At 51.5% G+C, this 25998-nt stretch overlaps 1 protein-coding gene and 1 pseudogene across 8 annotated transcripts in view, besides 9 other annotated features; one reads left to right on the top strand and one right to left on the bottom strand.

The window, feature by feature from the left end:
* PALD1 (phosphatase domain containing paladin 1) overlaps window positions 1-25998 on the top strand; it is a 109966-nt gene that overhangs the window by 8723 nt on the left and 75245 nt on the right. For 3 of the 8 annotated variants that reach the window (XR_945675.3, NM_014431.3, XM_047425059.1), the window contains exon 1: window positions 11560-11852. The exons of 1 other annotated variant lie outside the window; for it this stretch is intronic. The gene's annotated coding sequence lies outside the window, so the exon portion shown is untranslated. Of the gene's footprint in view, window positions 1-2183; window positions 2325-11559; window positions 11964-11990; window positions 15858-25998 lie in introns of those variants that run through there. 4 more of the 8 variants (XM_047425056.1, XM_047425057.1, XM_047425055.1 and 1 more) reach the window with 4 other exon arrangements.
* Window positions 5761-6527: an enhancer, noted in NCBI's record as "H3K4me1 hESC enhancer chr10:72232724-72233490 (GRCh37/hg19 assembly coordinates)". NCBI's record gives its function as "activates a minimal SCP1, AML or CMV promoter by ChIP-STARR-seq in primed H9 embryonic stem cells {active_cell/tissue: H9 hESC(primed)}" and the evidence as "EXISTENCE:reporter gene assay evidence [ECO:0000049][PMID:30033119]".
* Window positions 9266-9345: an enhancer, noted in NCBI's record as "active region_3505". NCBI's record gives its function as "activates an Ori minimal core promoter by ATAC-STARR-seq in GM12878 lymphoblastoid cells {active_cell/tissue: GM12878}" and the evidence as "EXISTENCE:reporter gene assay evidence [ECO:0000049][PMID:35858748]".
* Window positions 11176-11245: a silencer, noted in NCBI's record as "silent region_2448". NCBI's record gives its function as "represses an Ori minimal core promoter by ATAC-STARR-seq in GM12878 lymphoblastoid cells {active_cell/tissue: GM12878}" and the evidence as "EXISTENCE:reporter gene assay evidence [ECO:0000049][PMID:35858748]".
* Window positions 11446-11895: a silencer, noted in NCBI's record as "silent region_2449". NCBI's record gives its function as "represses an Ori minimal core promoter by ATAC-STARR-seq in GM12878 lymphoblastoid cells {active_cell/tissue: GM12878}" and the evidence as "EXISTENCE:reporter gene assay evidence [ECO:0000049][PMID:35858748]".
* Window positions 12890-13532: an enhancer, noted in NCBI's record as "H3K4me1 hESC enhancer chr10:72239853-72240495 (GRCh37/hg19 assembly coordinates)". NCBI's record gives its function as "activates a minimal SCP1, AML or CMV promoter by ChIP-STARR-seq in primed H9 embryonic stem cells {active_cell/tissue: H9 hESC(primed)}" and the evidence as "EXISTENCE:reporter gene assay evidence [ECO:0000049][PMID:30033119]".
* Window positions 13176-13355: an enhancer, noted in NCBI's record as "active region_3506". NCBI's record gives its function as "activates an Ori minimal core promoter by ATAC-STARR-seq in GM12878 lymphoblastoid cells {active_cell/tissue: GM12878}" and the evidence as "EXISTENCE:reporter gene assay evidence [ECO:0000049][PMID:35858748]".
* Window positions 13533-14174: an enhancer, noted in NCBI's record as "H3K4me1 hESC enhancer chr10:72240496-72241137 (GRCh37/hg19 assembly coordinates)". NCBI's record gives its function as "activates a minimal SCP1, AML or CMV promoter by ChIP-STARR-seq in primed H9 embryonic stem cells {active_cell/tissue: H9 hESC(primed)}" and the evidence as "EXISTENCE:reporter gene assay evidence [ECO:0000049][PMID:30033119]".
* Window positions 15668-16215: an enhancer, noted in NCBI's record as "H3K4me1 hESC enhancer chr10:72242631-72243178 (GRCh37/hg19 assembly coordinates)". NCBI's record gives its function as "activates a minimal SCP1, AML or CMV promoter by ChIP-STARR-seq in naive H9 embryonic stem cells {active_cell/tissue: H9 hESC(naive)}" and the evidence as "EXISTENCE:reporter gene assay evidence [ECO:0000049][PMID:30033119]".
* Window positions 18504-19122, bottom strand: YY1P1 (YY1 transcription factor pseudogene 1; annotated as a pseudogene).
* Window positions 23016-23115: a silencer, noted in NCBI's record as "silent region_2450". NCBI's record gives its function as "represses an Ori minimal core promoter by ATAC-STARR-seq in GM12878 lymphoblastoid cells {active_cell/tissue: GM12878}" and the evidence as "EXISTENCE:reporter gene assay evidence [ECO:0000049][PMID:35858748]".

Raw genomic sequence — 25998 nt, forward strand, 5'->3', positions numbered from 1 at the left:
GAAAGAGGCCCCCTGGGGAGCTGGAGTTAGAATCACAGTTAAGGCCTCTTCTGGTCCTAGAGGTTCCCACCAGCCTTTGAAAGTCCTGGAATGTTTAGCTGGAGAAGCCTGGGGGTGGGGGTATGAGATGGTGTTTCTCAAATATTTGAGGGGCAGTCCCCCGGGAGGAGGTACCTGTGCTCTGGTGGTCCCAGTGGTGGAGGTGGGGGGTGGGAGGTGAGGGGAAGTAAAAGAATAGCTGGAGAGTGAGGGGAGCCACTGAGAAGTGGATGTCGGGTTCATGTGTGGAGAAGGGTGAAGGACGTCCTAACACCCCGCACAGTTCGCGGGGAAGCGGATGGCGTCTGAAGGAGTGAGATCCCCGTCACTGGGAGGATTCAAGTTAGGCAGCAGTTTAGTAGCCGTATACAAGAGCTCTGGAGTCAGAGAGGGCTGGGGAACACTGGGCAAGTTCCTCAATTGCTGTGTGCCTGAATTTCTTCATTTGTAAAATGAGGATAGCAATGGAACCTGCTCTAAGGGTTTTGTGAGGAGTGAGATCATGATTCTGACACAGTAGCCAGCACTTAGAACGCACCCAGGATAGGACAGGAGTGCATGGAGGGGATTCTTGGATGAGGTGGGGAGTTAGATTAACTCCTCACTACGAGCCCCCCAGCCTGGATTTTCATGGAAGGAGTGCCCTGGGGCTCATTGTGGCAATGCCCCTGAGTTATCTGAAGTTCGCCACCTGCCACCAAATGGGCAGTTTACCCACCCACCCCCCATTGACGGGGTCTGAGGACAGTACCTTGTGATTACGCACAAGGCAGGGGTTATTTATCCCATTTTACAGATGAAGAGACTGAGGCTGAGAGGCTCCTTGGCTTTCCCAGCACAGACATGGGAAGACAGGAATGAGATGAGGATTCAGGTTTCCAGAAGCCTGGTCAGGGGACTTGATCTGTTGTGATGGCCCTTATGGAGCCTGGCCCCTGGGCTTCCCTCTGTCGGAGTAGTTGCCTGTCTTACTGGGAAGAAGGCAGGTGTGGTCCACCAGGTAAGGTTTTTTTTGAGATGTAGTTTTGCTCTTGTCACCCAGGCTGGAGTGCAATGGCGCGATCTCGGCTCACTGCAACCTTCACCTCCCGGGTTCAAACGATTCTCCTGCCTCAGCTTCCCGGGTAGCTGAGATTATAGGTGCCCGACACCATGCCCAGCTAATTTTTGTATTTTTAGTAGAGAGGAGGTGTCACCACATTGGCCAGGCTGGTCTCAAACTCCTGACCTCAGGTGATCCACCCGGCTCGGCCTCCCAAAGTGCTGGGATTACAGGCTTGAGCTACTGTGCCTGGTCACCAGGCAAGGTTTTTAAGGAAACTTTCTTTCCCTAGAGCCCAAGTGTGGAGCCCCCCTTCCCTGCCTTTGCCCACAAGGAGCCCCTGCCCAGGACTTCTTATGGACGGGGTGTAGTGGGCAGAGCACAGCAGCCTCACCCTAGCCCATGAGGCAGGACTGTGTGTGTGTGTGTGTGTGTGTGTGTGTGTGTGTGTGTGTGTGTGTGTTTTGAGATGGAGTCTCGCTCTGTCACCCAGGCTGGAGTGCAGTGGTGTGATCTTGGCTCACGGCAACCTCCGCCCCCCAGGTTCAAGCAATTCTCCTGAGGCAGGACTCTTATTATGGTCCTATAGTAGATGAAGAGACTGAGACTAGGGGCACACAGCTGGTAAGGGACAGAGCTGGGATTTAAATCCAGTAGCGTGGCTTTAAAGCTTGCCTTTATCTACCCACAGTGGAGGGGGCACGGTACCATCTCTGAATCCATTACCTCTAGCCGCGGAAGGCACCTTGGATTTAGGGACTGCATGTGTTCCTTCTGAGCCTTGGCCAGCCCACCCTTAAGAGGAGCTGGCATCGCTGGGGCCTCTGCCAGCTGGAGTTGGGAACATCTCACCCCAGGCTGGCAGGCGGCTAAGGGTCAGATTGGCCTATCAGCCAGAGGATTACCTCGGAGTCCCTTGGAACATGGATTCCCAAATGTGAAACATTCTACCGTGGCCTTAAACCCTCCGAGGGGGCTTTCCCAGGCTCAGCCCTGGAGATTCTGGCTGAGGAGGGCTGGGCGGAGCCTGGGAGTCTGTCGTGTAACCCCTCCACCAGTGATTCAAATGCACACACAGGCAGGCTGGGGAACAACTGTTTACTCCTAACTGCTGGACCGTGAATGCTTATCTCAGATTGTCTGGGGGTGTCTGGAGGGGCCTTCCAAGCCAGCGGAGCTCCGGCGGCTGCTAGTTGAAGTGAATGTGCATTGAATGCATTATGCTTCTGAGTTTGCTGTAGAGGTGAGCGGGCTGATAAGCTGGGCTGGGTTCCCCTGGGCCACCCCTGCCTGCTGCTGGGTGCCTGCAAGATGCAAAGGGTGGGTGGGCTGGCTGGTGTCTGTGCCTTCTGAGAAGCCTAGACCTCAGCTAGCACCACAAGAAAGGAGACTGAGTCAGGTCATGAGTTCCTCATTGCTGGGAATAGTCAAGCAGAGGCAAGGGGGTTTAGTACAGGGCTGCTCCAGGTCTGGCAGGGTGCACTGACTGGCTTCTTAGAGTCCGTTTCTTTTTTCTTTTTTTTGAGATGGAGTCTCGCTCTGTCGCCCAGGCTGGAGTGCAGTGGTGCAATCTCGGCTCGCTGCAACCTCTGCCTCCTGAGTTCAAGCAATTCTCCTGCCTCAGCCTCCCGAGTAGCTGGGACTACAGGCGCCCGCCACCGTGCCTGGTTAATTTTTGTATTTTTAGTAGGAACAGGGTTTCACCATGTTGTCCAGGCTGGTCTCAAACTCCTGACCTCAGGTGATCTGCCCGCCTCAGCATCCCAAAGTGCTGGGATTGCAGGCATGAACCATTATGCCCGGCCCTGACTCTGTTTCTTTAAATTGCATTTATTATGTCCATCGTATTCTGATGGCAGAAGGGGTGAATGGTGTGATATTTGGGGGCTGCTTTAAAACACTCCAACAAGGAAAAGGAAAACAGTAGATGAAGCAAGTGTGGCAAAATCTTGATAACTGTCATATCTGGACAATGGGTGTATAGAATCAATTATACTATTCTCTACATTTGTGCATATGTAAGAATGTTCCAAATTAAAATGACAAATGTCTTAATTATTAGAATGTCAGAAATGCATGGTGTAAAAAACTCAACTATGCAGTAGGATAGTGGGAGGTCAGTCTGCTCCCCTCTCCCAGACCCCAGTCCCCTCTTAGGACTAAGTCCTCTTTTCAGCCTCTTCTACAGCCTTCCAGAGGTTGACTGTGTGTATACAAGCCTATAAGTGTGATTTATTATTTTTTATTATATAATAAATAATATTTTTATTATATAATAAATAATATTATTTTTTATTATATAATAAATAATATTATTTTTTATTATATTTTATTTTTTGACACAGGATCTTACTCTGTCACCCAGGCTGGAGTGCAGTGGCATGATCTTGGCTCACTGCAACTTCTGCCTCCTGGGTTCAAGCGATTCTCCTGCCTCAGCCTCCCAAGTAGCTGGAACTACAGGCACGCACCACCACGCCCAGGAAATTTTTGTATTTTTATTTTTATTTTATTTATGTATTTATTTTTTGAGGTGGAGTTTCACTCTTATTGTCCAGGCTGGAGTGCAATGACACGATCTCGGCTCACCGCAACCTCCGCCTCCTGGGTTCAAGTGATTCTCCTGCCTCAGCCCCCTGAGTAACTGGGATTACAGGCATGCGCCACCACACCTGGCTAATTTAGTTTTTTTTTTTTTTTGTGGTACTTTTAGTAGAGACGGGGTTTCACCATGTTGGCCAGGCTGGCTTCAAACTCCTGACCTCCCTCATGATCCTCCCGCCTCGGCCTCCCAAAGTGTTGGGATTATAGGCGTGAGCCACCGTGTCCGGCCTGAATTTTTGTATTTTTAGTAGAGACGAGGTTTCTCCATATTAGCCAGGCTGGTCTTGAACTCCTGACCTCAGGTGATCCATTGGCCTTGGCCTCCCAAAGTGCTTGGATTATAGGCATGAGCCAACGCACTCAGCCTCGATAGTATTATACATTTATTACTCTTATCCCTGGATACTGGGTTTCCAAGCTCGCTGCACATTTGTGTGTGTGCATCTGGGTGGGTGTAACTGTCGGACAGGATTCTGTGGTTGGAATCCATGTGACTTATTCATCACCTTAGAGACAGATACTGAGGCTGCCTCCAGCACCCCACTGTCATGGTCAACACCACTGTGGTCATCTTTGTCCATGTCCATCTCTGAATCTTGCCCTTTACTCTAGCAAGCATTTTTTCTCAGCTCACATACATCTGCCTTGGGTTTTAAAATAGCTGCACGGTGTTCCTAGTTTTGGATGTTCCATAGTTTAGCCAATCACCTCTCTACTGACAGACCTTTCAATCTTCTCTTTCATCATCTCACTCAAACTATGAATAGCCTTGTTCAGTTGTCAGTTTGCACACATGCAAGCACATTTCTAGGCGAAAGTCCTAGTGATGGAATTGCTGAGGCAAAGGGTCTGTGCCTTTGTCATTTGCATGGATACTGCCAGAAAAGTGTGAGAATATCTGTTTCCCACCCATCAGCAAAACTGTCTTCCAGCGCTTAGGTTCTTTGAGGCTCAGAGAGTGGTGGTCTGGCTGGGATAACACAGCCAGTGAGGGTTGGCACTGAGCCTGGCATGCAGGAAACTGAACCCTGGCCAGTGACCTTCCCAAGGCACTGCTTTGGCTTCTTCATGCCCGAAGCTTCACAGAGTCTGGGACCTTCCTAGCAAGTCTGGGGGCCTCGGCCTTTGGAATGTGCCTGGTAAGCAACCCCTCCAAGTGCCCACTAGCCCAGAGCAGTGTCAGCCTTGGAGCTCGTCACACGAAAGCCCCTGGGAGGTTGTGTCAGGCCTGGCCTCCGTAGATCCCTGACCCCTTCCTCACCCCCACCTCCCTGCAGCATCTTCATAAAGGGCTCTGTCAGAGTGAGACATCCTTGGGAGCCTGGAGTGGTGTTGCCTGGAGACAACTGGGCAACAGATCTGAGTTATTTATTTATTTATTTATTGAGACGGAGTTTTGCTCTTGTCGCCTGGGCTGGAGTGCAATGACGCGATCTTGGCTCACTGCAACCTCTACCTCCCGGGTTCAAGCGATTCTCCTGCCTCAGCCTCCCCAGTAGCTGGGATTATAGGTGCCTGCCACCATGCCTGGCTAATTTTTGTATTTTTAGTAGAGATGGGGTTTCACCACGTTGGCCGGGTTGGTCTCAAACTCCTGACCTCAGGTGATCTGCCCGCCTCAGCCTCCCAAAGTGCTGGGATTACAGGTGTGAGCCACTGCGCCTGGCCAGATCTGAGTTATTTAAAGGAGGGAGAGGGTGGGACGGAAGGGGTGACAGCCTTTTTATTCAGGGATGGATGGTCCTGCTGCTGCAGGGTTTGGCAGCCCCCTCCCACCCCTTGTCTTTCCCAGTGTCCAGAGCCTGGGACTCTGCAGCGAGACCCAGTAGAAGGCCACTTGGAGCACCTTTCTGACGGCAGTAGTGGTGGGGGATTCTCTGCATGCCCCGGGGGCTCTGTACGAGTGCTGGCTGGGGGAGGGAGGAGGTGTGGGCAGAAGGACCAAGCATTGGAGAGGAATCTTCTGATGTTGATAACCACAACTCCTATTATGAACTTCCTCTCAGACAGCTATTTGCTAAGAATTTTAAATTTATTAGTTCATTTGATCTCAAAACTCGTCAAGGTAGGTATGACTATCCCCATTTTACAGATGTGGAAACTGAGGCTCAGAGAGACATTAAGTGACTTGCCTGAGGTCACACAGCTAAGTGGCAGAAACCAAATGAAAACTCAGGTCTTGTCTGATGCAGAAGCCAGAACAAACCTCCGTACATTGCTAGAGATGGCAGGGCCCTTGAATGCACCCACGTCTCCCCACCCCTAGCTGACCTGGAAGGTCCTGCATCCCGCCCTGCTGGGTGCCACCAATCGTGCTTCCCCAGCACCCTGGCCCCACCCCGACTCTGCAGGAAACACAGGGCTCTGAAATGATCCGTGACTTGTCTGCCTCTCCCACAGGTCTGTGAGCACCTCGAGGGCAGGGCAGGGTCTTATTCATCTCTGTGTCCTGAGCCCAGAGTCAGGCACATAGTGGGCACTTAAAGAGCATTTCCACATGGAGCTTGGATGCTTGAGCAGCTCTCCCTCAGACAGGGGCCAGCTGTCTATCTATGGACCCTCACTCTCTCCCCGACAGCCCTGCAGGGACCAGAAGAAATGATCCTTCTTTTTTTGTTGTGTACTTGTTTACTGTCCTCCCAGCCCACTAAAATGTCAGTTCCATGAAGGCAGGAACTTGTCTGCCTCATTCACTTCTCAGGGGATAGAACAGTCTTGGAATATAGAAGGGGCTCCATAAATGTTTGTTTACAGACTAATTTTTTTTTTTTTTAATTGAGACGGAGTCTGTCACCCAGGCTGGAGTGCAGTGGTGTGATCTCAGCTCACTGCAACCTCTGCCTCCCAGTTTCAAGCGATGCTCGTGCCTCAGCCTCCCAAGTAGCTGGGATTACAGGCGCACGCCACTATGCCTGGCTAATTTTTTTGTATTTTTAGTAGAGACGGGGTTTCGCCATGTTGGCCAGGCTGGTCTCGAACTCCTGACCTCAGGTGATCCACCCCCCCCCCCTCAGCCTCCCAAAGTGTTGGGATTACAGGTGTGAGCCACAGTACCCGGCCTGACTGACTAAATAAATGAATGAAATATTCGTGGAATGAATGAGCCAGGATTCCTCCCTGCTTTTCTCTCCTGATCTGATGGAGCATCTCTGTAGAACCTGAAGAATGTTCTGGAGCTAGAGTCACGCTCCTGCCACATGTCCTGGGTGCTCTTCAGTCAGGCCCTTAAGTGGTCCTGTGGGGAGGGAGGGGAGCAAGATCTGGTCCCTGCTCTTAGGAACCTCATTGTTCTGTGCAGCATGTTCAAACTGGAGGTCACGGGCAAAATCAGTGTAGTGCCCTGCAGTCAGCAATAACAAAAAGAAATAGGATAAGATAGATTAGAGGGCCGGGCGTGGTGGCTCACACCTGTAATCCCAGCACTTTGGGCAGCCGAGGCAGGTGGATCACCTGAGGTCAGGAGTTTGAGACCAGACTGGCCAACATGGTTAAACCCTGTCTCTACTAAAAATACAAAAATTATCTGGGCGTGGTGGCGGGCGCCTGTAATTCTAACTACTCGGGAGCCTGAGGCAGGAGAATTGCTTGAATCCAGGAGGCGGAGGCAGCAGTGAGCCGAGATTGTGCCACCACCACTGCACTCCAGCCTGAGACTCTGTCCAAGGAAGGAAGGAAGGAAGCAGGATGCATCCAATGCAGTAAGGCTAAGCATTTTTTTGTGAATAACACACATTCACATATCTGTGTAGCTGGCCCTGGTGTAAAATGTATTTCTTACTTTGGGTCTTGATAAAAAAAAGGTTTGAACCTTGTGTATGAATTTGGGAGTCGGGGGACGTAATCCTTAGGCTTAGACCCAAAGAAGGATATAATCAATAAAATGAATAATCCTGCCCATAATATGATGCCGATAACTGAACATGTATCCTGCGCCAGATGGGGATGCTCAGGTCCCAGGGCCTGGCAGGGAAGGGAGGGGAAGGATTCCAGAGTGGACAGAGATCCCATGGGCAGATAGGGGAGGAGTCCAAGGCAAATTGCCTGGAGGAGGAACCTGAACTCAGCCTCCAAACACCCCTCTGCCCTGGCAGGTTCAGGGCTAGGTCATGGTGTGAGCTTGGGTGGCAACAGTAATGACAGGAACAGCAGTCATCAGTAAGTACTTGCTGAGTGCCAAGCACCTTTTATCCTCCAGACTTTCCCAGGAAGCAAGAACTGCTCTTTGCATCATTTTACAAATGAGGAGACTTGGAGCAATGTGGTAACTTGTAGCATAGGGGTCACATGGTGGTAAAGTTGCTGTGGCTAGATCCAAGCCCAGGTCTGCCCTGCTTAAAGCCCTTGTCTTTAGGATTGCACACAGAAGGGGGCTGAAAAAGTGGGAGTGCTGGATGCTGGAGATGGGGCAGTGGGCCTGGAAGGGCGGATGGCCAGGGCAGACAGGGGATCCGTCTGTGTTGGGATTCAGGCGTCACGGATGAGTTTGCCTGAGGCTCAGAGACCACTGGGCTCAGGGCGAAATCACAGGCCACAAGACTCCCACCCTGAAGGGTGCACATGATCCCTGTTCTTGGCAGTAAGGTGGTCACAAGGAGCAAGGCCAGCCCATGTCCTGATGTTGTCCACTCCTCAGGTCCAGTGTCCCTCAGCTGTGGCAGATGTCAGGGAAGAGTGGGGAGTAGAGAAGAGCAGCAAGGGCCTGTTTCCCATCTTTGATCAAGATTCATCTTTGCTGGTTTGAACCCAGCTCCTCTGCTTTCCAGCGAGTCATTTGTGCCTGTCAGGAAATCATTTTTGGCTTGAGTGTTCCCTGGAGGGAATCTGGGGTTCCCACAGCTCATGTTTTTGCCCAGGAACTGAACTTGGGAGCTCTCTCCCAAGAGCACCAGCACCTTGCTTGGGCTGATGGGGCAGTGGATGGCCACAGGCGAGTCTGTCGGGGCGTGAGTAACAGGTTACTCATATTCTTTGCAGCAGCAGCTTGTCTGGTTTTGGACGGTTGCAGGTGCTTTGTGTGTGTGCTACACGTACACACACATACACACATGCTCACTTATAAAGCCACACTCACTCCCACTAGACACTTGCACAAACATGGATCCCTGCAAATATGAGTTCACGCACGAGCAATACAAGCATGATAACATGGTGTCTTGGACGTTTGTGTGTGGGGGATGTGGGTGCTGGCAGTGCTGGTGGAGTGCTGGGTGAGTGGGGGTCAGTCCCGACCTCTCTCCTTCCTGAGATCCTGTTCTGGGACCCATGAATCTTTTCTCAGGGGATTTTGGGCTTCTGCTCTGAGCTTCCAGATTTCTCAGGAATCTTCTGCTGCAGTTTGAGAGGCTCAAATGGGCTCAACTGAGAGCTGGCTCGACTGATTCTTTCGTTCTGCCTGGGGCTGGGGAGAGAGCAGGATGCCTTCTCTTGGGTGTACCCAGGGCTGCTCTGTGGCCTTCTCTCCTTCAACATTCAGTCCTTGTTCCCCTCCCAGGCCCACGGTGGGGCAGATCTGACTGAATCTTTCTTGTGGTTGGGACTTTTCTAGCCCCATAGCCAGCAGACAGCCAGGGCTGCAGGACTCGCTATTCTGAGTAGGGACTTGGCAGGCCCTCTGGGGGGCTGGTGGTGGGCTGGTGAGGCTGGGCACTGTGGTTTGGATGCAGTCTGTGGCCTGACCCTGAGGAACCTCCAAGCCCTCAGCCCCCTACCTACCAGCTGAACCCTGAGGCTAACTGTTAGATCCAGAAGGGTTGTGACTGCAGGCTGTCCTGAGAACATCTTTGTCCTGGGCTTTTCTGCTTGGTTCAACAAGAACACCTACTGTGTGTGTGGTGAGTACAAATGAATGTATGGAGACGTGCCAGGCACTGTGCTGTGGGCCAAAAGACAGGTCAGGCACAGGTAGGACATAGCTTTTGTTCTCTGGGAGCTAGAGAGGCACACCGCCGTGGATCCCAGCATCTGCTGGGCAGGGAGGGTGAGGGGAAGCAAAGTGTGTGTATTTGTATGTGTGTATTATGTGCATATGTGTATGTGCTATGTTTCTGTATGTATATATGTGTGCATGCATCCCTATAGGTATGCATGTTTATGTATATATTTGTATACATATATGTGCATGTATGTGTATACATGTGTGCATACACATGCACATGTATGTAAATGTATATTTTGCACCTGCTCACACACATGTTGCTCCTACCTTAGTCCTGGCCTAGAAGAGGACATTATCCTGGAATGCATCCTCAGGATGGCAGGCTTCAGCTGGGGAGTCTGACAGCTGGTGGGATGGGATATGGGGCTGTGGCAAGAGGAAGAAGGAAGGAAACTGTGGCCCAGGATGGAGTCCTAAAGTGTGCCACACACGATGCCTGGACATTACTTGCCCAGCTCACTGGCTTCTCAAATACCTCTTTGAAGGAGGATGAAGCCATCTTATGGATGTAGAAGTTGGGAATCTGAGAACTTACGTCACTTTTCCCAGACCACACAGCCAGTAAATTGTGAGCCACTTTGAGCCTAGCTCTGCTGAACTCTGAAGGTCAGGTCTGTTTCCCAAGGCCACTATGGGATTTTCTCTGCTGCTGTCCTTTTCACACACCTTGGGTGGCGCAGGAGCAGGTATGGAGCTGAGGACAAGTCTTCCCTGGGCCTGTTTCCTCATTTGTTAAAATAGGGATCAGAAAAGTACCGACCTTATAACTTCGCGAGGCACTTAAGAGCTAGGTGCTAGGGACATGGTGAGACCACCACAATGAGTGATTTCTCTTGTCTTCAGTTATTCTTAGGGGTCATGGGGAATGTGTTCCCCTCTCCCAGCCCAGCGCTCTCCAGCCTGACAGAGGTGGGGCCTACACTGCCTGCATCCTGGGGCAACCCCAGCTCGCCGAAATCCAGCTCCAGTCCTGAATGGGGGTGAGGCAGGTGGTAACAGGTGAGAAAAAAGGATTTCCCGAGTGTGGAGCAGCGAGAGGGAGGAAGTGACTCACCAACCACAACAAAGCCTATCTCTCCGCGAGGAAGCACAGCGAAGAGTGAACGCACGCACGTGGGTGCGTTCACCCACGTGCTCGCGGGGGCGTGCGGGGCCGTCGGAGTGGGCCGGGCTGGCTGCCGCCTAGTGCTAGTCCGCGCGTGTGGGGTGAGGAGTGGTGGGGGGGGCAGGCCTATGGTGCGGGTCACTGCCTGGAGCCGCATGATGGGTGGGGGCGGAGGGACCCCTCTCCATCCAAAGCTCTGCTCTGCTGTTCCCCTCTCACCTCTGGGGGCCGAGGGGCGCGTTTCCTTAGGACCCCGGGGCGTGGGAGAAGCCCCTGCTTGGGGGGACCGTCTGCTGTTTAGGGGCTCCCCTTCGACACGTGGGAGGCAAAAGTGCAGAGCGCACCATCATCCAGCTCCGGCCGCACTGCACAGCGAGGCCGGCCCGGAGCCCGGATGCTGGGCTCGGTCCCGCCGAGGCTCGGCCTGGCTGTAAAGCAGAGGGGGGCGAGGGAAGCCGGGCCAGCGGGTGTCGCGGGTAGCCGGCGTCCGGGACGGGGTGTGGCGCCCAGAGCGCTGCTGCCTCTCGCAGCCAGGAGGCTGGATGTCGGGTTTGGGTGTCTTCCAGAAGGAGCCGCACTAGCGACGAGGGAAGAGGAACTGGCTTCCCGGGCAGTCTCCCCCGCCCCAAACTTTTCCTCCTCGCGGAGGGTGGGCGGGCGGAGGGAGGAAGCGCAGCCGGGGAACGTGGCGCCCGCGTTCCTCCCGCCCGGGGGCTGCGGCTGGGCTGAGTGTGTCTTTAAATCTGAGCCCCCCGCCCCTCGCGGTGGGGCCGGGACTCGCGGTCCGGGCGGGGGCGGGCGCGGTGATTGGCGGCCGGGTCGGGTCCGCCCCTCGGCGTTGGGTAGCGGGGCGCTGGGGAGCAGCGCGGCGCGCACGGGCCGGGGCGCGCAGGTCCCGTCGCCGGTGAGCACGGGCTCCCTCTCGCGTGGCCTCGCCGGGTCCGCCTGGCCTGCCCACCTCCGGAGCCACCTCTGCCCCCGCATGGGCTGGCGAAGTTGGGAGGAGCGAGCTGGAGCCAGAGCGCGCGCCGGGCGCGCCCCGTCGCTGCCTGACTCGGCGCCCGCAGTTCGGGCGCAGCACGCCGGCCGCAGGAGCACGGATGCCCCCCGGAGCCGCGGGCTGGCAGGTACCGAAGTGTCCTGCCCTGGGGCTGGCGAGGGGAGGGCAAATCTGGAATCCCCCGGGCACCCCCCAGCCCGAGGCTGCTCCAGACACCAACTCCCCATCCTTTGGAGAGGTGAGGTCCTGGGCCTTCACCCCACACCCGCTCAGGATTGGTCCCTGGGAGGCAAGAGGGACTCACAGGGAGCAGTTGCTGGGTGGTTGTGTGTGTTGGACCCTGGGCTACCCCCTCTCCCGAGTTCCCTGGGTTTGGTGTAGGCATGGCCTGGTGACAATTCCACTTTTCATTGCCAGACCTGGGAGCATGGCCAGGAGCTAGGGTTTCCCGCGAAGTTAGGGGGAGATTGGGGAGAGGGAAGCCGCTTCATGACCGAGATGGGGTCCTGGGACTCATCTCTAGGGGGCGTGAGGCCCTCAGACCCAGGACGAGTCCAGAAGTCTCAGCGGGCACAGGCTTTGATTCTTGGCCCAGTCTGGCCCTCTTCCTCTGTAGGCCCGGGTCTCCAAGGAGAGTACGTTTTTCAGTTTCAGAGGGTTTTCCTGAAGGGGCAGTAACCTGTCAGAGAGAGAGTGGCCTATGGGAGACCCGGCTCCTGAAGGTGGCCGGGATGGTTGGAGCCCTTTCTCTTGGGTTGTCAGAGATGGGAGTAAAGCTTCATGGCCCAGGGAATCTTCTGGGCATCTCTACTCTCCCAGCCAGAGGCCCAGGAACCAACTCCTTGGCTTCTGGGTAGAGTAACCTGAACCCAGTGGCCGAGCACCTCTTAAATGCCAGGAAGGGCACTGGGCCGTGCCCCTGGAATGTGTGGATGGAGGAGGATTTGGAGGATTCTGTCCTCAGGAGGCTCAGCCCCTGGGGGCAAGACAGGACATAAACACACAAAGTTCCCCGATACAGGGTTTCAATACCAGTCCTGAACTGGTAATAGTGGAAAGCCAAGAGGCTACACACCATTAATTGCTATGTGAGTAATGTAGGCTGCGAGAGTGCCAGGGCAGCAGAGATCCAGTTCCATGCAAGCAAGCAAATGTGCTGAAATGTTCCAGCTCCATGCCCGCCCTTCCTTATTACCTTGCTCCAAGGGCAGGGAGCAGCAGGGGCGCTGAGGAGGTTCTCCTGCACTCATCCCCACCCACTCCCAGGTTTGTTTGTTTCCTGCTGGTGGATTTCTGAAATAACCCATTTGGTTTCTTGGCTTGGGCTGAGCACAGGACACTCCTAGTTGCCCTGTGGCTCCTGGGGTTTGGGGTCTAGAGCCAGCCTTGTAGGAGGTTCAGAGGTAAGCAGGAGGAAGTCCTCACTTCCTTTCTGAAGAGCCTCTGTCGCGGGGGGTTGGGGTAGGTCGGGAGGCTGGCAGGCACTGGGCCAGTTTCCTATGAGTGCAGACAGACCCCAGGTGGTGCATGCACCCCCCTCCCTTTCCTGGCCAGTGTTGGGGGTGGGCACAGTAGGGCCCAGGTGGCTTGAGGTGGGTGGTTCCTGGCACAGCTCTGACCTCACTTCTGTGAGGCTCTGCTGTATCTGGGGCCCTGCCCCCTCCCTCATTGTCCCTGGCAGGTTTCTGTTTTTCTGGAGCACTTCGTGGAGGTGGCAGTGTGCTCATGCTCGTGGCCTTGGGTGCAGTTCTGGGAGTGGGAGTTGCTGAGCTCACCCGAAGCCCTTGGCTGGCACTGTGAGAACTTGTGTGAACACACTTGCCTGCCTCCAAACAGGTGGTGCACAGACCTGGGTTACCCAGGCACCTGTGGGGGATGCCCCGTGTGGGCAGAGACGTGAGTGCGTGTGTGTGCTCAGGTTTACATCTGTGTGGGCAGAGACGTAGAGGAGCTGGATACATATATACTTGAGGACAGACACAGGAGGATGGTGGGGGTGAGCAAACAACCCAGGGACACAGACATGTGCGGGGACAGACATACATGAACCCATCAGCGTGGGCCACGTATGGGCTGCAGACACGTACATAGAAATACACCATTGCTGGGATCTGAATCTCCCCACATGGGAGGCAGACATGTAAGTGGACAGACATATAGGTAGACCCAGCAGAGCACAGACGGGGATGGGAACCGACATTCCCAGACAAAAGACTCGGAGCCACAGGGAAGCCGCTCAAGTGCCTGGGCAGAATGGAGTTGGCTGTGAGCTCCTGGGGGGCACAGACACATATGCTTGCCAGAGCCAGCGGACAGCAGAGGCCAGGAACCAGACACAGGTGGGTTCTGAGAGGTAGGCCGAGGCGTGCATTGCCTGGTTATCACTGTTTCCCTGCGTGGCACAGTGCCCGGAAGTTGTCCTGTTTGGGGTGGTGATGGTACAGGTGCTCTGTGGTGGAGCTTATTTCTAGACTCTCACTTTGGGGTTTGAGGACCCCAAAAAGCTCAGTCTCCTGTGTTTTACTCAGAGTCATTTGGCCTCTCCACCTCTGCATTACAAGGCTGTGTTTGTGCCTTAAGTGCCAGCAGGTGCTCTTTGAATTTTGATTCTCATCTTCCCTGGATCTCCAGAGGCTTCCTGAAGTGAGGCTGTGTGGCCTGGGTAGGGTGCTCCAACTGTTCCTTTCCTACCAGAATAGGAGAGGAACTGTCTGGGGATTCTCCTTCTGAACCCAAGCCTGCGGGTCTTTGACAGGGATCCCCCAGGTGAGAGAGAGAGCACACATGTAGCTGCGTCTGTGATGAGAGCCACTGCCCTCTGGGGCGGGCTCCTTCTCTGCTAAGCCGTGGGCTTGCACAGGGAAGGGGTCCCCCACCTGGCTATGCTCAGGTCTCCTCTGCCCAACCTGGCACCTGAGAGACAGCCCAGATTCTAGATATGCTTTGATACTAATGCACCATGCAACCTCCAGCAAGTCAATTAATGTATTGGTTTCCTCATCTTTAGAGTGGGGTCAGTAACCTCTACCTCCTTGTGGGTTCAGTGGGAGAAAATCAGTGCAAAGCATGTGGCCCAGTGCATGGCATGGAGTGAGTGCTCAGTTGATGTGGCGGTGGGGGCCTTTGATTATGAGCCATCCCCTGTGGCCAGGACTCTGCAGGGCTTCCTCAGCAGCCAGGTGCATGGCCCTGGGCCTCTGGGTGAGGTCTGGAGCAGGCTGGGTGGGCCAGGCACCTCTCCTGTGAAAGCTGGAGGGCTTTGTCCTCAGTCGGTGCCCACTAGTCCCTCCTTAGCCCTGTGGGACCTCCATACACGGGGTCAGGAAATGGCAGGCTGGGCGGGCGTATGGAAGCTTGGGCCTGCTGACTGCTGGGCCTCTGGGAGGGGAGCCAGTGTTTGCTAAGAATAGTCCCAAATCATGGCTTTCGTTTCCCAGAGGGCAGCCCAGCCATGTGCTGCCCCTGTCTTGGGCCAAGGCACTTGCAGATGGACTTTTTATGTTTCCTGTAACTGGTGCTCAGCACAGGATTGAGCCTGGGAGCAGCAGGCTTAGTCTGGGAGGAGGCTCTGTTTGTCTTCCGAGGCCTTTGGCTGGGACCCGGGGAAAGAGAAGGTCTGGAAGCACTGGCCTTTATAATCCCTGAGTTCCTTTTCCACTCAGGGCTTTTCCTGACACATCTGCCTCGACCATCTTCCTACCTGCAAATAGACCTGTTGTGATTAAGAACACTGGCTCTGGAAAGAAACTACCAGGGTCTGAATTTCTGCTCCCTCCCTCATTAGCCATGTGGCCCAGGGCAAGAAACTTAACCTCTCTGTGCCTCAAGTCCCTTGTGTAACAGGGTTAAGGATAGCAACTCCCTTATGAGAATGTCACAAGGATGAAAGGAGGTAATCGCAGAGAGCCTCCGAGGCTGTCTGGCTCCTAGGAAGTACTCAGTAAACATTAGGTGCTTATGTTATTACCACGATGTTATTCTCTCAGCAGAGGCCAGGATGCTTGCACAGGACCAGTTGGTGGGAAGGGACCAGCGTGGCATCTTGATGTGGGTTCCTGAGCTTTCTTGGCCCTGGGTTCAGTATGAGGTGCAGGGGCTCCGAAGGTAGATTAAACTCTGTCCCTGCCAGGAGGTGAGTGAGGTACATGCAGACACCATGTCTGGTTCTGTGATGGGGTCTGTGCTAGTTATGGTTGGAGCCTGAGGGAGGGAATGGCTGGCCTGGGGTGTGTGTGATACTTCACGTGGGCTTTGAGGGATGGCCAGGAGTTTGCAAAGGAGGAGGGCAAGGCTTCCCCAGCAGAAAGAGCAGCGTGGCAGAGGTGTGACAGCCCTTGTGAAGCGTTTTGTGTATTTCCCATAACTGGCATGTGGGCTGACTTTGGCTTTAAGGGGTGCCCCTGCCTGGGCTGAAGCTGGGGCACTGATGAGAGAGGCAGGTGGGGTGTCTGGGTCATCTGCACACCCATGGAAGGCAGTAGAGAACATCTTTGGGAACTGGGTGTGTCACTGCCAATGCTTTGGGCTCCCAGGGAGCTGGGGCTTTCAGAAATTCCCCAAGGAGAGAGGATGTGGTGCTGTGAGGGCTGTGGGTACCCTGGGAAACGGCCAACAGGCTGGGCTGGGGCCCATGGGAGGGGAGAGGGGTGGGTGCCCTGAGATGACCTGGGACCCTGCCAGCTTCTGCATCCTGCTGAGCCCCAGGCCCTTCCTCTCTGTGGGCTGTGCCGGCCTCTGTCTGGCCTTCCCAGAATGGAGGCCTGGGACGCTGGGACATTTTTCGAAGATTCTGTTTGGAAAGCACAGAAGGGACTTCTCCTCCCCTTTTCCTTTTCCTGGAATGGAGAATCTCCTGAAGGAGTTAACCCCTTTCCTGCTGGTCACAGAGTGGCCCATGGATGTGTCCCCGGCTTTTTTTAGGATCACTGTTTTATTGTTGCCCTTTCTGTTACACGGGATGTATACATCAGGTGCTGAAAGGTACAACACATTCTGCAACTGAGTGCCACCTTCCATGATTGAACAGGCAAAGAAAGTACACTGAACATCAGCATCTGGCAATATATTTTTTGTTTGTTTGTTTTTTTTGAGATGGAGTCTCACTCTGTTGCCCAGGCTGGAGTGCAGTGGCGCATTCTTAGCTCACTGCAACCTCTGCGTCCCAGGTTCAAGCAATTCTCGTGCCTCAGCCTCCTGAGTAGCTGGGATTACAGGTGCCCACCACTACGCCCAGCTAATTTTTGTATTTTTAATAGAGATGGGGTTTCACCGCATTGGCCAGGCTGGTCTCAAACTCCTGATCTCAGGTGATCTGCCTGCCTTGGCCTCCCAAAGTGTTGGGATTACAGGCATGAGCCACCGTGCTCGACCCCAATATTTTTCTAAAAAAAGACTAAAATGGATTTAAATTGATTAACACTGTTAAATCACGTCTAATATTTGATACTACATGATTCAATATAGCTGAATGATGCAATGATAGAAAATGTGTTTACATCAAAGAATACAACCAAAATTAAGATAGCAAACAAAACCCATATACTTTTTTTAAACAGGAAAATACTTTTGAAGTGTACATGTAACTGCCCATTCTTTTATTTTATTTTATTGTTTGTTTTTTTTTTTGAGACAGAGTCTCGGTCTGTTACCCAGGCTGGAGTGCAGTGGCGTGATCTCAGCTCACTCAAGCTCCGCCTCCCGGGTTCAAGCGATTCTCCTGCCTCAGCCTCCTTAGTAGCTGGGACTACAGGTGTGTGCCACTATGCCTGGCTAATTTTTGTGTTTTTAGTATAGATGGGGTTTTGCCATTTTGACCAGGTTGGTTTCAAACTCCTGACATCAGGTGATCTGCCCGCCTCGGCCTCCCAAAGTGCTGGGATTACAGGCATGAGCCACTGCGCCCAGCTGCAACTGCCCATTCTTTTAAAGAAAATTTACTGCAAGCAAAGTTATCAACCTTCAGAAAATGCACACATAGTATTGCTAAGCATCCCCCATTCCAATATGCACACTTGGAAAATACAAAGTTAAACAAATTGTAAACAATAGGTGAGCTTCATATTTTTAAGAATATGGAAAGAAATCCCATTTTTAGCAGTGTTGTACAAAGAACTGTCTTTTCATGTGAAATTCATGAATTGTCCTTCTGTTGGGATCATACTTCACAAAACCACCATGTTTTTGAAACAAGATTACAGAGTACGAACATCTTAGCAATGTTATCTTATTATTAAAGTTAAATTTTTTTTTTTTACTATTTTTCAAAACATCTCCCTTAAGTATGTAGGATTCATCTTTAAAATTCTTCCTAGAAATAATATACAAAGGAGAGGTATGTTTATTCCCTGTTATACTTCTGGAAGGCACTTCCATGGTGGAGAAGGGGCTTCTTTCTCTTCTGTTCACTGATTGTTTTTGTCCTTGGTGTGTGTTAAGATGTAAGATTTCAGGTTAGTTGTCTGAGCAAACTTCTTTTTTTTTTTTTTCTTGTTTTTGAGACAGAGTTTCACTCTTGTTGCCCAGGCTGGAGTACAATGGTGTGATCTCAGCTCACTGCAACCTCTGCCTCCTGGGTTCAAGCGATTCTCCTGCCTCAGCCTCCCAAGTAGCTGGGACTACAAGTGTGCACCACCACACCCGGCTGATTTTTGCATTTTTAGTAGAGATGGGGTTTCACCATGTTGGCCAGGCTGGTCTTGAACTCCTGACCTCAAGTGATTCACCCGCCCCGGCCCCCCAAAGTGCTGGGATTACAGATGTGAGCCGCCGTGCCCAGCCACAAACTTCTTTTATTACAACCACGGAAGGGGCACACATGGGTCCTGTCTCTGGTATGGATTCACACACACGTGCACAAATTGAAGTCCAATAAAAAGCATTTCCCACAGACCCACCATGTGCCATGAAAGAGCTTCTCTCCAGCACAGACTGGTTGGTGTTGTTCTGGTCTTGAGCTCTCAACAAGAGCTTTGCCGTGTTCTTCACAGACGAGGACTCTGGGACTGTGGCTGTGCAGATGTTTTCTCATGGCAGAGTTATCCAAGAACATCTTCGTGCTCCCTTTATGAGGCAAGCTGTTGTTCTTGGGGCATCATCTTATTTAATTTTTCTTGGCTTCATTCCAGCAAGTTATGCCGATTGTTTAGGATTTGAGAGGTTACTGCCAGGTATTCCTCCAGGAGGAAGTTTCTTTCCTGTCATATACTTTGAAAATCAGGAGGCAGGTTCTCTTCAATGGCCAGTTCTTCAACCACTGTTGAGGTATCAAAGTCAATATCTTTTTTTTTTTTTTCTCTGAGGACTACATGGTGACCAAAAACTTGCCCTCCAGGTTCTTGATCTGCACCTGCTTCTGCTCCCACTTGTTGTTGCCTGGGTTGGCGCCATCACCACCCACCACATTTCTGCTTTGACGTCTGCCCTGTAGTGACTGAACCCTTCATCCTGGGACCCCTGAGGTTGGTGCCAACCCCTGCACTTCCCAGGGACAGCCCTCTATCAGGGCCCCGGCACCCTGGTTGACAGGGCCTAGAAGACTTCATTAGCCAGTTGGGCACTGTGGCTCACACCTGTAATCCCAGCACTTTGGGAGGCCGGGGCAGGCGGATCACTTGAGGTCAGGAGTTCAAGACCAGCCTGGCCAACATGGTGAAACCCCATCTCTACTAATAATACAAAAATTAGCCAGGTGTGGTGGTGGGTGCCTGTAGTCCCAGCTACTCAGGAGGCTGAGACTGGAGAATAGCTTGAACCCAGGAGGCAGAGGTTGCAATGAGCTGAGGTTGCGCCACTGCACCCCAGCCTGGGCAACAGAGTGAGATTCTGTCTCAAAAAACAAAACAAAACAAAACAAAAAACCTCATCAGCCTGATCTGAGTGGTGGTTTAGCTTTGCCTTGACCATCATCTGCCGGTGTGCTCCCTCCCTTCCTCCCGAGGCAGCCCTGTCTGCTGGAGCACAAGGACTTCTGGAGTCTCCTGCAGGGTTGCCCTGCTGGCTCAGCCCAAGGCCTGGTGGGAATCTGATTTCTGAATGCCCAAAGAGAAGGGCCCTCCCTAGAGACGAGCCCCAGAGTTGCCCTTTGGGGAGCCCTCTGGGGAGGTGTGGAGTAGTCTCTGCTCCAGGGGGCTCTGAGCTGGGCCCTAAGGCATCAGGTAAATAAGCCCTGGGCTGGCATTTGACTGTCCCTCTGAGCCCAATTTTTTTTTTTTTTTTTTTTTGAGACAGAGTCTCGCTCTGTTGCCCAGGCTGGAGTGCAGTGGCATAATCTTGGCTCACTGCAAGCTCCACCTCCCAGGTTCACGTCATTCTCCTGCCTCATCCTCCCGAGTAGCTGGGACTACAGGCGCCCGCCACCATGCCCGGCTAATTTTTTGTGTTTTTAGTAGAGACGGGGTTTCACTGTGTTAGCCAGGATGGTCTCGATCTCCTGACCTTGTGATCCGCCCGTCTTGGCCTCCCAAAGTGCTGGGATTACAGGCGTGAACCACCGCACCTGGCTGTGCCCAATTTTCTCACCTGCAGAATGGGCATGAACATTTCCCCCTGCCTATCTTCAATGTTTTTTTTTTAAACTGAGGTGAAATCCATTTAAATAAAATAAACCATTTTAAAGCCCACAATTTAGAGGCATTTAGTATAGTCACAATGTTGTACAACCACCACTTCTATCACATTCTAAAACATTTTATCACCCTAAAGGAAAACTCCACCTATTAAGCAGTTACTCACCATTCCCTTCTCCACCACAGTACTTTTTTTCTTTAAAAAAAAAAACAAAAAAACAAAAAACAGTTTTGTTGAGATATGTGCACCATAAAATACACCTGCGTGAAGTGTGCACTTTGGTGAATGTCGGTAAAAGTCCTGGGCATGCAGCCAACTCCTAGACAAGTCTGACAACACTTTCCATCACCTAGAAGGGCCCTATGCTCCCTTGTAGCCGGTCACCACTCCCACCTTGGGCCCAGGCCCACTCATCTACTTTCTGTCACTATGATTTTGTTTTTTCTGGATTTTTCACATACGTGGACTCATATAACAGGTAGCTTTTAGTGACTGGCTTCTTTACTCAACATGATGTTTTTTGAGATTCATCTCTGTTATTGGATGATTTAATCAGTTCCATTCCTTTTTTATTGGTGAGTAGTATTCCAATGTGTGGGATATGTTAAAAATAGTTTAAAATTTCTCTCTCTTTTTTTTTTTAAGAAGGGCCTCTTTCCTGTTGCCCAGGCTGCAGTGAAGTGGCTCAGGGTCGACTCACTGCAGCCTTAACTTCTGGCCTCAAATGATCCTCCCACCTCAGCCTTCTGAGTAGTTGGGACTACAGGTGTGCACCACCATGCCCGGCTAATTTTTGTATTTTTAGTAGAGACGGGGTTTTGCCCTGTTGCCCAGGCTGGTCTTGAACTCCTGGACTGAAGTGATCTGCCTGCCTCAGCCTCCTAAAGTGCTGGGATTACAGGCGTAAGCCACCATGCCTGGCCTAAAATAATCTTCACAAAATATTCAAGTAGTAGCTTCATAGAAAGTAAAATGTCAAAGTCCCCTTTCCCCTCCTTCCCCTCTCTCTGGTCCCCGTAGGTAACACTGTCAGCAGTGTGCTGAGTATCCTTTGGTCTTTTTTCTGTACCTCTACATGAATTTGTGTGGTTTTTTATTTTTGGGGTGTAAATGAGCTCAAACTCGGTCCATGGCTGTGGGGCCTGCTTTCATCCGGCCATGTATCATGCAGAGGGACCCCACCACTGCCATGGGAGTTCTGAGCACATGCCCTGAGCTGGGGCTTGGCGAGGCTTTGGGAGAGATGGGAAGAAGTCTTCCTGGAGGTGGTTAATTTAGAGCAGGTTCTGGAGAAGAGTAGCATTGGATCAAAGGGGATCAGTCTGTCCAAAACAGCCTCTGTCGTGACCCGTCCCTGGGGTCTGGGTGGATGTATTCTGCTGCTGGGGGTCTGGGTGGATGTATCCTCCTGCTGCTGGGGGTCTGGGTGGATGTATCCTCCTACTGCTGGGGGTTCTGGGCGGATGTGTCCTTCTGCCGCTTCACCAATGACCCCGACTTGGCTGCCGCTGGTGGGGGCTTCTTCCCGTCTCTCTGAAGTGTCACTGGAAGGAATAGGCCCAGGAGAGGGCAGTTCGTTGGGTTGACAGAAGAGGGACCCTTGGGGAGTTGCCCCTTGCCAAAGTCTCTTTAGGCAGCCTGTAGGGGCCTCCCAATAGCTATCTTGCCCAGCCTACGTGGGTGGAGGATGGGATGCCTGTGGCCTCTGAGGAAGGGGCTGCCTGGGCTCAGATTTTCACCCTCCTGGCCCCACCCCAACCCCAACCAATGAGACTGCAGCCAGTGGGGTCCCAGGTGCTCTGAGTCTTATGTCATGCTGCTTTCCTTGACACTGCCATCGATGTGTAGATGAACCCCATCCCCTGCATCCTAAAGTTGGTTGTTTTCATTGTTTTTAAGTTTTCCCTAACTTAACAGTACAAAGTAGTGCCTTAATTGTAAGACATGGGTTCTGGGAGATAGGAATCCTGTGTGGTGGTTCCAGGGCAGCCACTTGCTTACCCAGGAAGGGGTTGTCTTGTGACTTGGGGTCTCATCCTGGGCTCAGGAATCCTGTAGGGGGAGGGGAGGACCTGGCAGGGAGCTCTGCATAGGTGGGTTTGTGGATGTCTCCCTTTCTGCAGCTCAGTGCTGCTCAAATGTGGGTAATACGTGGACTTCCAATTCACAGCCCTATTGAGATCTAATTCACATGCTGTACAATTCACTCATTTAGTAGCTTTTAGTACATTCAAAGAGCTGTTGTCTCACCACAGTCTAATTTTACAACATTTTCATCAACCTCAAAAGATACCCCAGTACCCATTGGTAGTCACTCCCCACCCCCAGCCCGCTAGCATGCTCTGTATCTCTATAGATTTGCTAATTCTAGACATTTCATATAAATGAAATCATACAACATATGGGTTTTTTGTAGACTCCCTCTCTCTCTCTTTTTTTTCTTGAGATGGAGTCTCGCTCTGTTGCCCAGTCTGGAGTATAGTGGCGTGATCTCGGCTGATGGCAACCTCCGCCTCCCGGGTTCAAGCGATTCTCCTGCCTAAGCTTCCCGAGTAGCTGGGATCACAGGCACCTGCCACCATGCCCAGCTAATTTTTGTATTTTTAGTAGAGATGAGGTTTCACCGTGTTGGCCAGGCTGGTCTTGAACTCCTGACCTCAGGTGATCCATCTGCCTCGGCCTCCCATAATGCTGGGATTACAGGCATGAGCCACCACGCCTGGCCCTCTCTCTCTCTCTCTTTTTTAAAGGTCTCACTCTGTTGCTCAGGCTGGGGTGCAGTGGTGCAATCACGGCTCACTGAAGCCTCAACCTCCTGGGCTCAGGTGATCCTCCCTCCTCAGTCTCCTGAGTAGCTAGGACCACAGGCATGTGCCACCACATCCGGCTAATTTAAAAGTTTTTTTAATAGAGACAAGGTCTTGTGTTGCCCAGGTCTTCAACTCCTGAGCTCAGGACTCCCTTTTGAAAAACAACAACAAACCCCTCACTTGCTGATTGACATTATTCTTACTGTAATATAACTGAAATGTGTATAAGACCAGGCATAAGCACCTTAGACTTAAAGTTTTTACAAAACTATTAAAAAAACAGGAAATAGTAGTAAAACCAGAAAGCCAACTCATTTCCAATGAACAATTACTTTAATTGGAAGGATGTTAACTGCACCTACATTGCCAGCCTTGGGTTGATGGTAGAGAGCTGTGCCCTTGGGCCTCTCCTGTGTTCCCTGCCTCTGTTTCTTGGGCCTGTTGTATAGGGAAGTACTAATAATGTTGGGCTGATGGGACGGGTTGGGGTAATCAGACCTCACATTTAAGCCTAGACTACGTGTGAGCAATCCCTGAATGTCTGTTTTAATGGGGTATTGCCCGATACTCGGAAAGCTGGCTTGTTTGATTGAAGATAAGCATGGAATAGTGGCATTATTGAAATCTGCTTGTAGTGGCTCTTAAACCCACTTCTTTTTTTTTTGGAGACAGAGTCTCGCTCTGTCGCCCAGGCATGGTGCGATCTGGGCTCACTGCAAGCTCCGCCTCCTGGGTTCACACCATTCTTCTGCCTCAGCCTCCTGAGTAGCTGGGACTACAGTCACCTGCCACCACGCCTGGCTAATTTTTTGTATTTTTAGTAGAGACGGGGTTTCACCATGTTAGCCAGGATGGTCTCGATCTCCTGACTTCGTGATCCACTTGCCTCGGCCTCCCAAAGTGCTGGGATTACAGGCGTGAGCCACTGTGCCCAGCCTAAACCCACTTCTTGTAGGAATCAGGAATTTGGCACAGAGATGGGCTTTACTCACTTCACACAGATGCTGTCAACATGCACATGGTCCTGACTGCTAAGAGGCTGGGCCTTTGAACTGGGCACCTCCAGGCTGCCATGGGCTATGGGGTGGCTCTGTTCTCCCTCCCCACCTGCTTTTTTTTTCCTATTTGAATCACAACCTTTCTTTGTGCTGTGTGTGATGATATCATTTGGCCTTCATGGAGAAGGAACTGGATTGTAAACACAGGAGCAAACTTGAGGCTCAAATTGTAGGGCACTGCTTGCTTATGAGATGGTTATTCAGATGACCAGGGGATGCTCTCATTACTTTTTGAAATGACATTAAAATAACCCTTTTAAAGTGTACAGTTCAGTGACAGTACATTTGCAATGTTTTGCAACCATCACCACAAACATTTTCAGTTCCAAAACATTTTCATCACCCCAAAAGGAAAACTCCATCCATCCATTAAGTAATCCCTCCCAGTTTCCCCTCCCCCAGCCTTGGCAACCATGGATCTGCATTCTGTCTCTGGATTTACCTATTTTGGATAGTTCATGTAAGGGGAATCATGTAATATGTGACCTTCTGTGTCTGGCTTTTTTCACTTAGCATAGTGTTCAGGGCTCATCTGTGTTGTAGCAAATATCAGTACTCCATTCCCTTTTATGGCTGAGTAACTTTCCATTGTATGGATAGGCCGCACTTTGTTTATTCGTTTATTATTTGATGGGCATTTGGGTTGTTTCTACCTTTTGGCTATTGTGAATAGCTGTTTGGCTGCTATGAATGTTCATGTGCAAGTATTTGTTTGGATACTTGTTTTTTATTCTCTTGGGTATATACTTAGCAGTGGGATTGCTTGGTCATATGGTAAGTCTTTGTTTAACTTTTTGAGTTTGATGTTCTGGAATTAGACAGCGGTGATGGTTGCACAACTTTGTGAATATACTAAAAATCATTAAGTCATATACAGACGGTCCCTGACTTATGGTGGTTCCACTTATGCTTTTTCAACTTTACAATGGGTTTATCTGCGTATAACTCCGTGGTAAGTCAAGGACCTCTTTACATCCTGCGATTTGTATCACTCTACCATTGTAAAGTTGAAAAAGTGTAAGTGGAACCATCGTTAAGTCAGGGGCTATCTGCTGTGTTACCAGAATTAAATGCATTTTTGACTTTTTTTTTTTTTTTTTTTTTTTTTTGAGACAGAGTCTTGCTCTGTCACCCAGGCTGGAGTGCAGTGGCGCAATCTTGGCTCACTGCAGTCTCTGCCTCCTGGGTTCAGACAATTCTCCTGCCTCAGCTTCCTGAGTAGCTGGGATTACAGGTACCTGCCACCACGCCTGGCTAATTTTTGTGTATTTAGTAGAGATGGGGTTTCACCATGTTGGCCAGGCTGGTGTAGAACTCCTGACCTCAGGTGATCCACCTGCCTTGGCCTCCCAAACTGCTGGGATTACAGGTGTGAGCCACCACCTGGCCTTGACTTATGATATGTATAATTTATGATGGGTTTGTCAGAATGTAACCCCATGATTACATCAAGGAGCATCTGTACTTTAAAGGGTGAATTTTATGGTATGTGAATTATATCTCAATTTTAAAATTTCACAGATCCCTAAGCAGGTATTCATGGAGTCTGGACTGAGTCATGTTCTCAGTTTTGGCAACCCAGGGTCCTGCATCACCTCTTGGGAATCCTGGGATCTCCCTTGGTGGGTGAGGACACTGTGTCTCACTCCATAGTCCCATTTTTGTGGGTAATCGGTGCGAGCTACAGGAAACAAATGGGCTCACTGGCTGCCTGCCCCCCTACCTTGGCTCATTCCGGCCCTTTCCAGCTGCCGCTGCTGCTTCCTTTTTTTGAATCAGGGCCTTGCTGTGTTGCCCAGGTTGGAGTGCAGTGGCATGATTGCAGTTCACTGCAACCTTG

This window comes from Homo sapiens, chromosome 10 (genome assembly GCF_000001405.40).
Source record: "Homo sapiens chromosome 10, GRCh38.p14 Primary Assembly".
NCBI classification, from domain to species: Eukaryota; Metazoa; Chordata; class Mammalia; order Primates; family Hominidae; genus Homo; species Homo sapiens.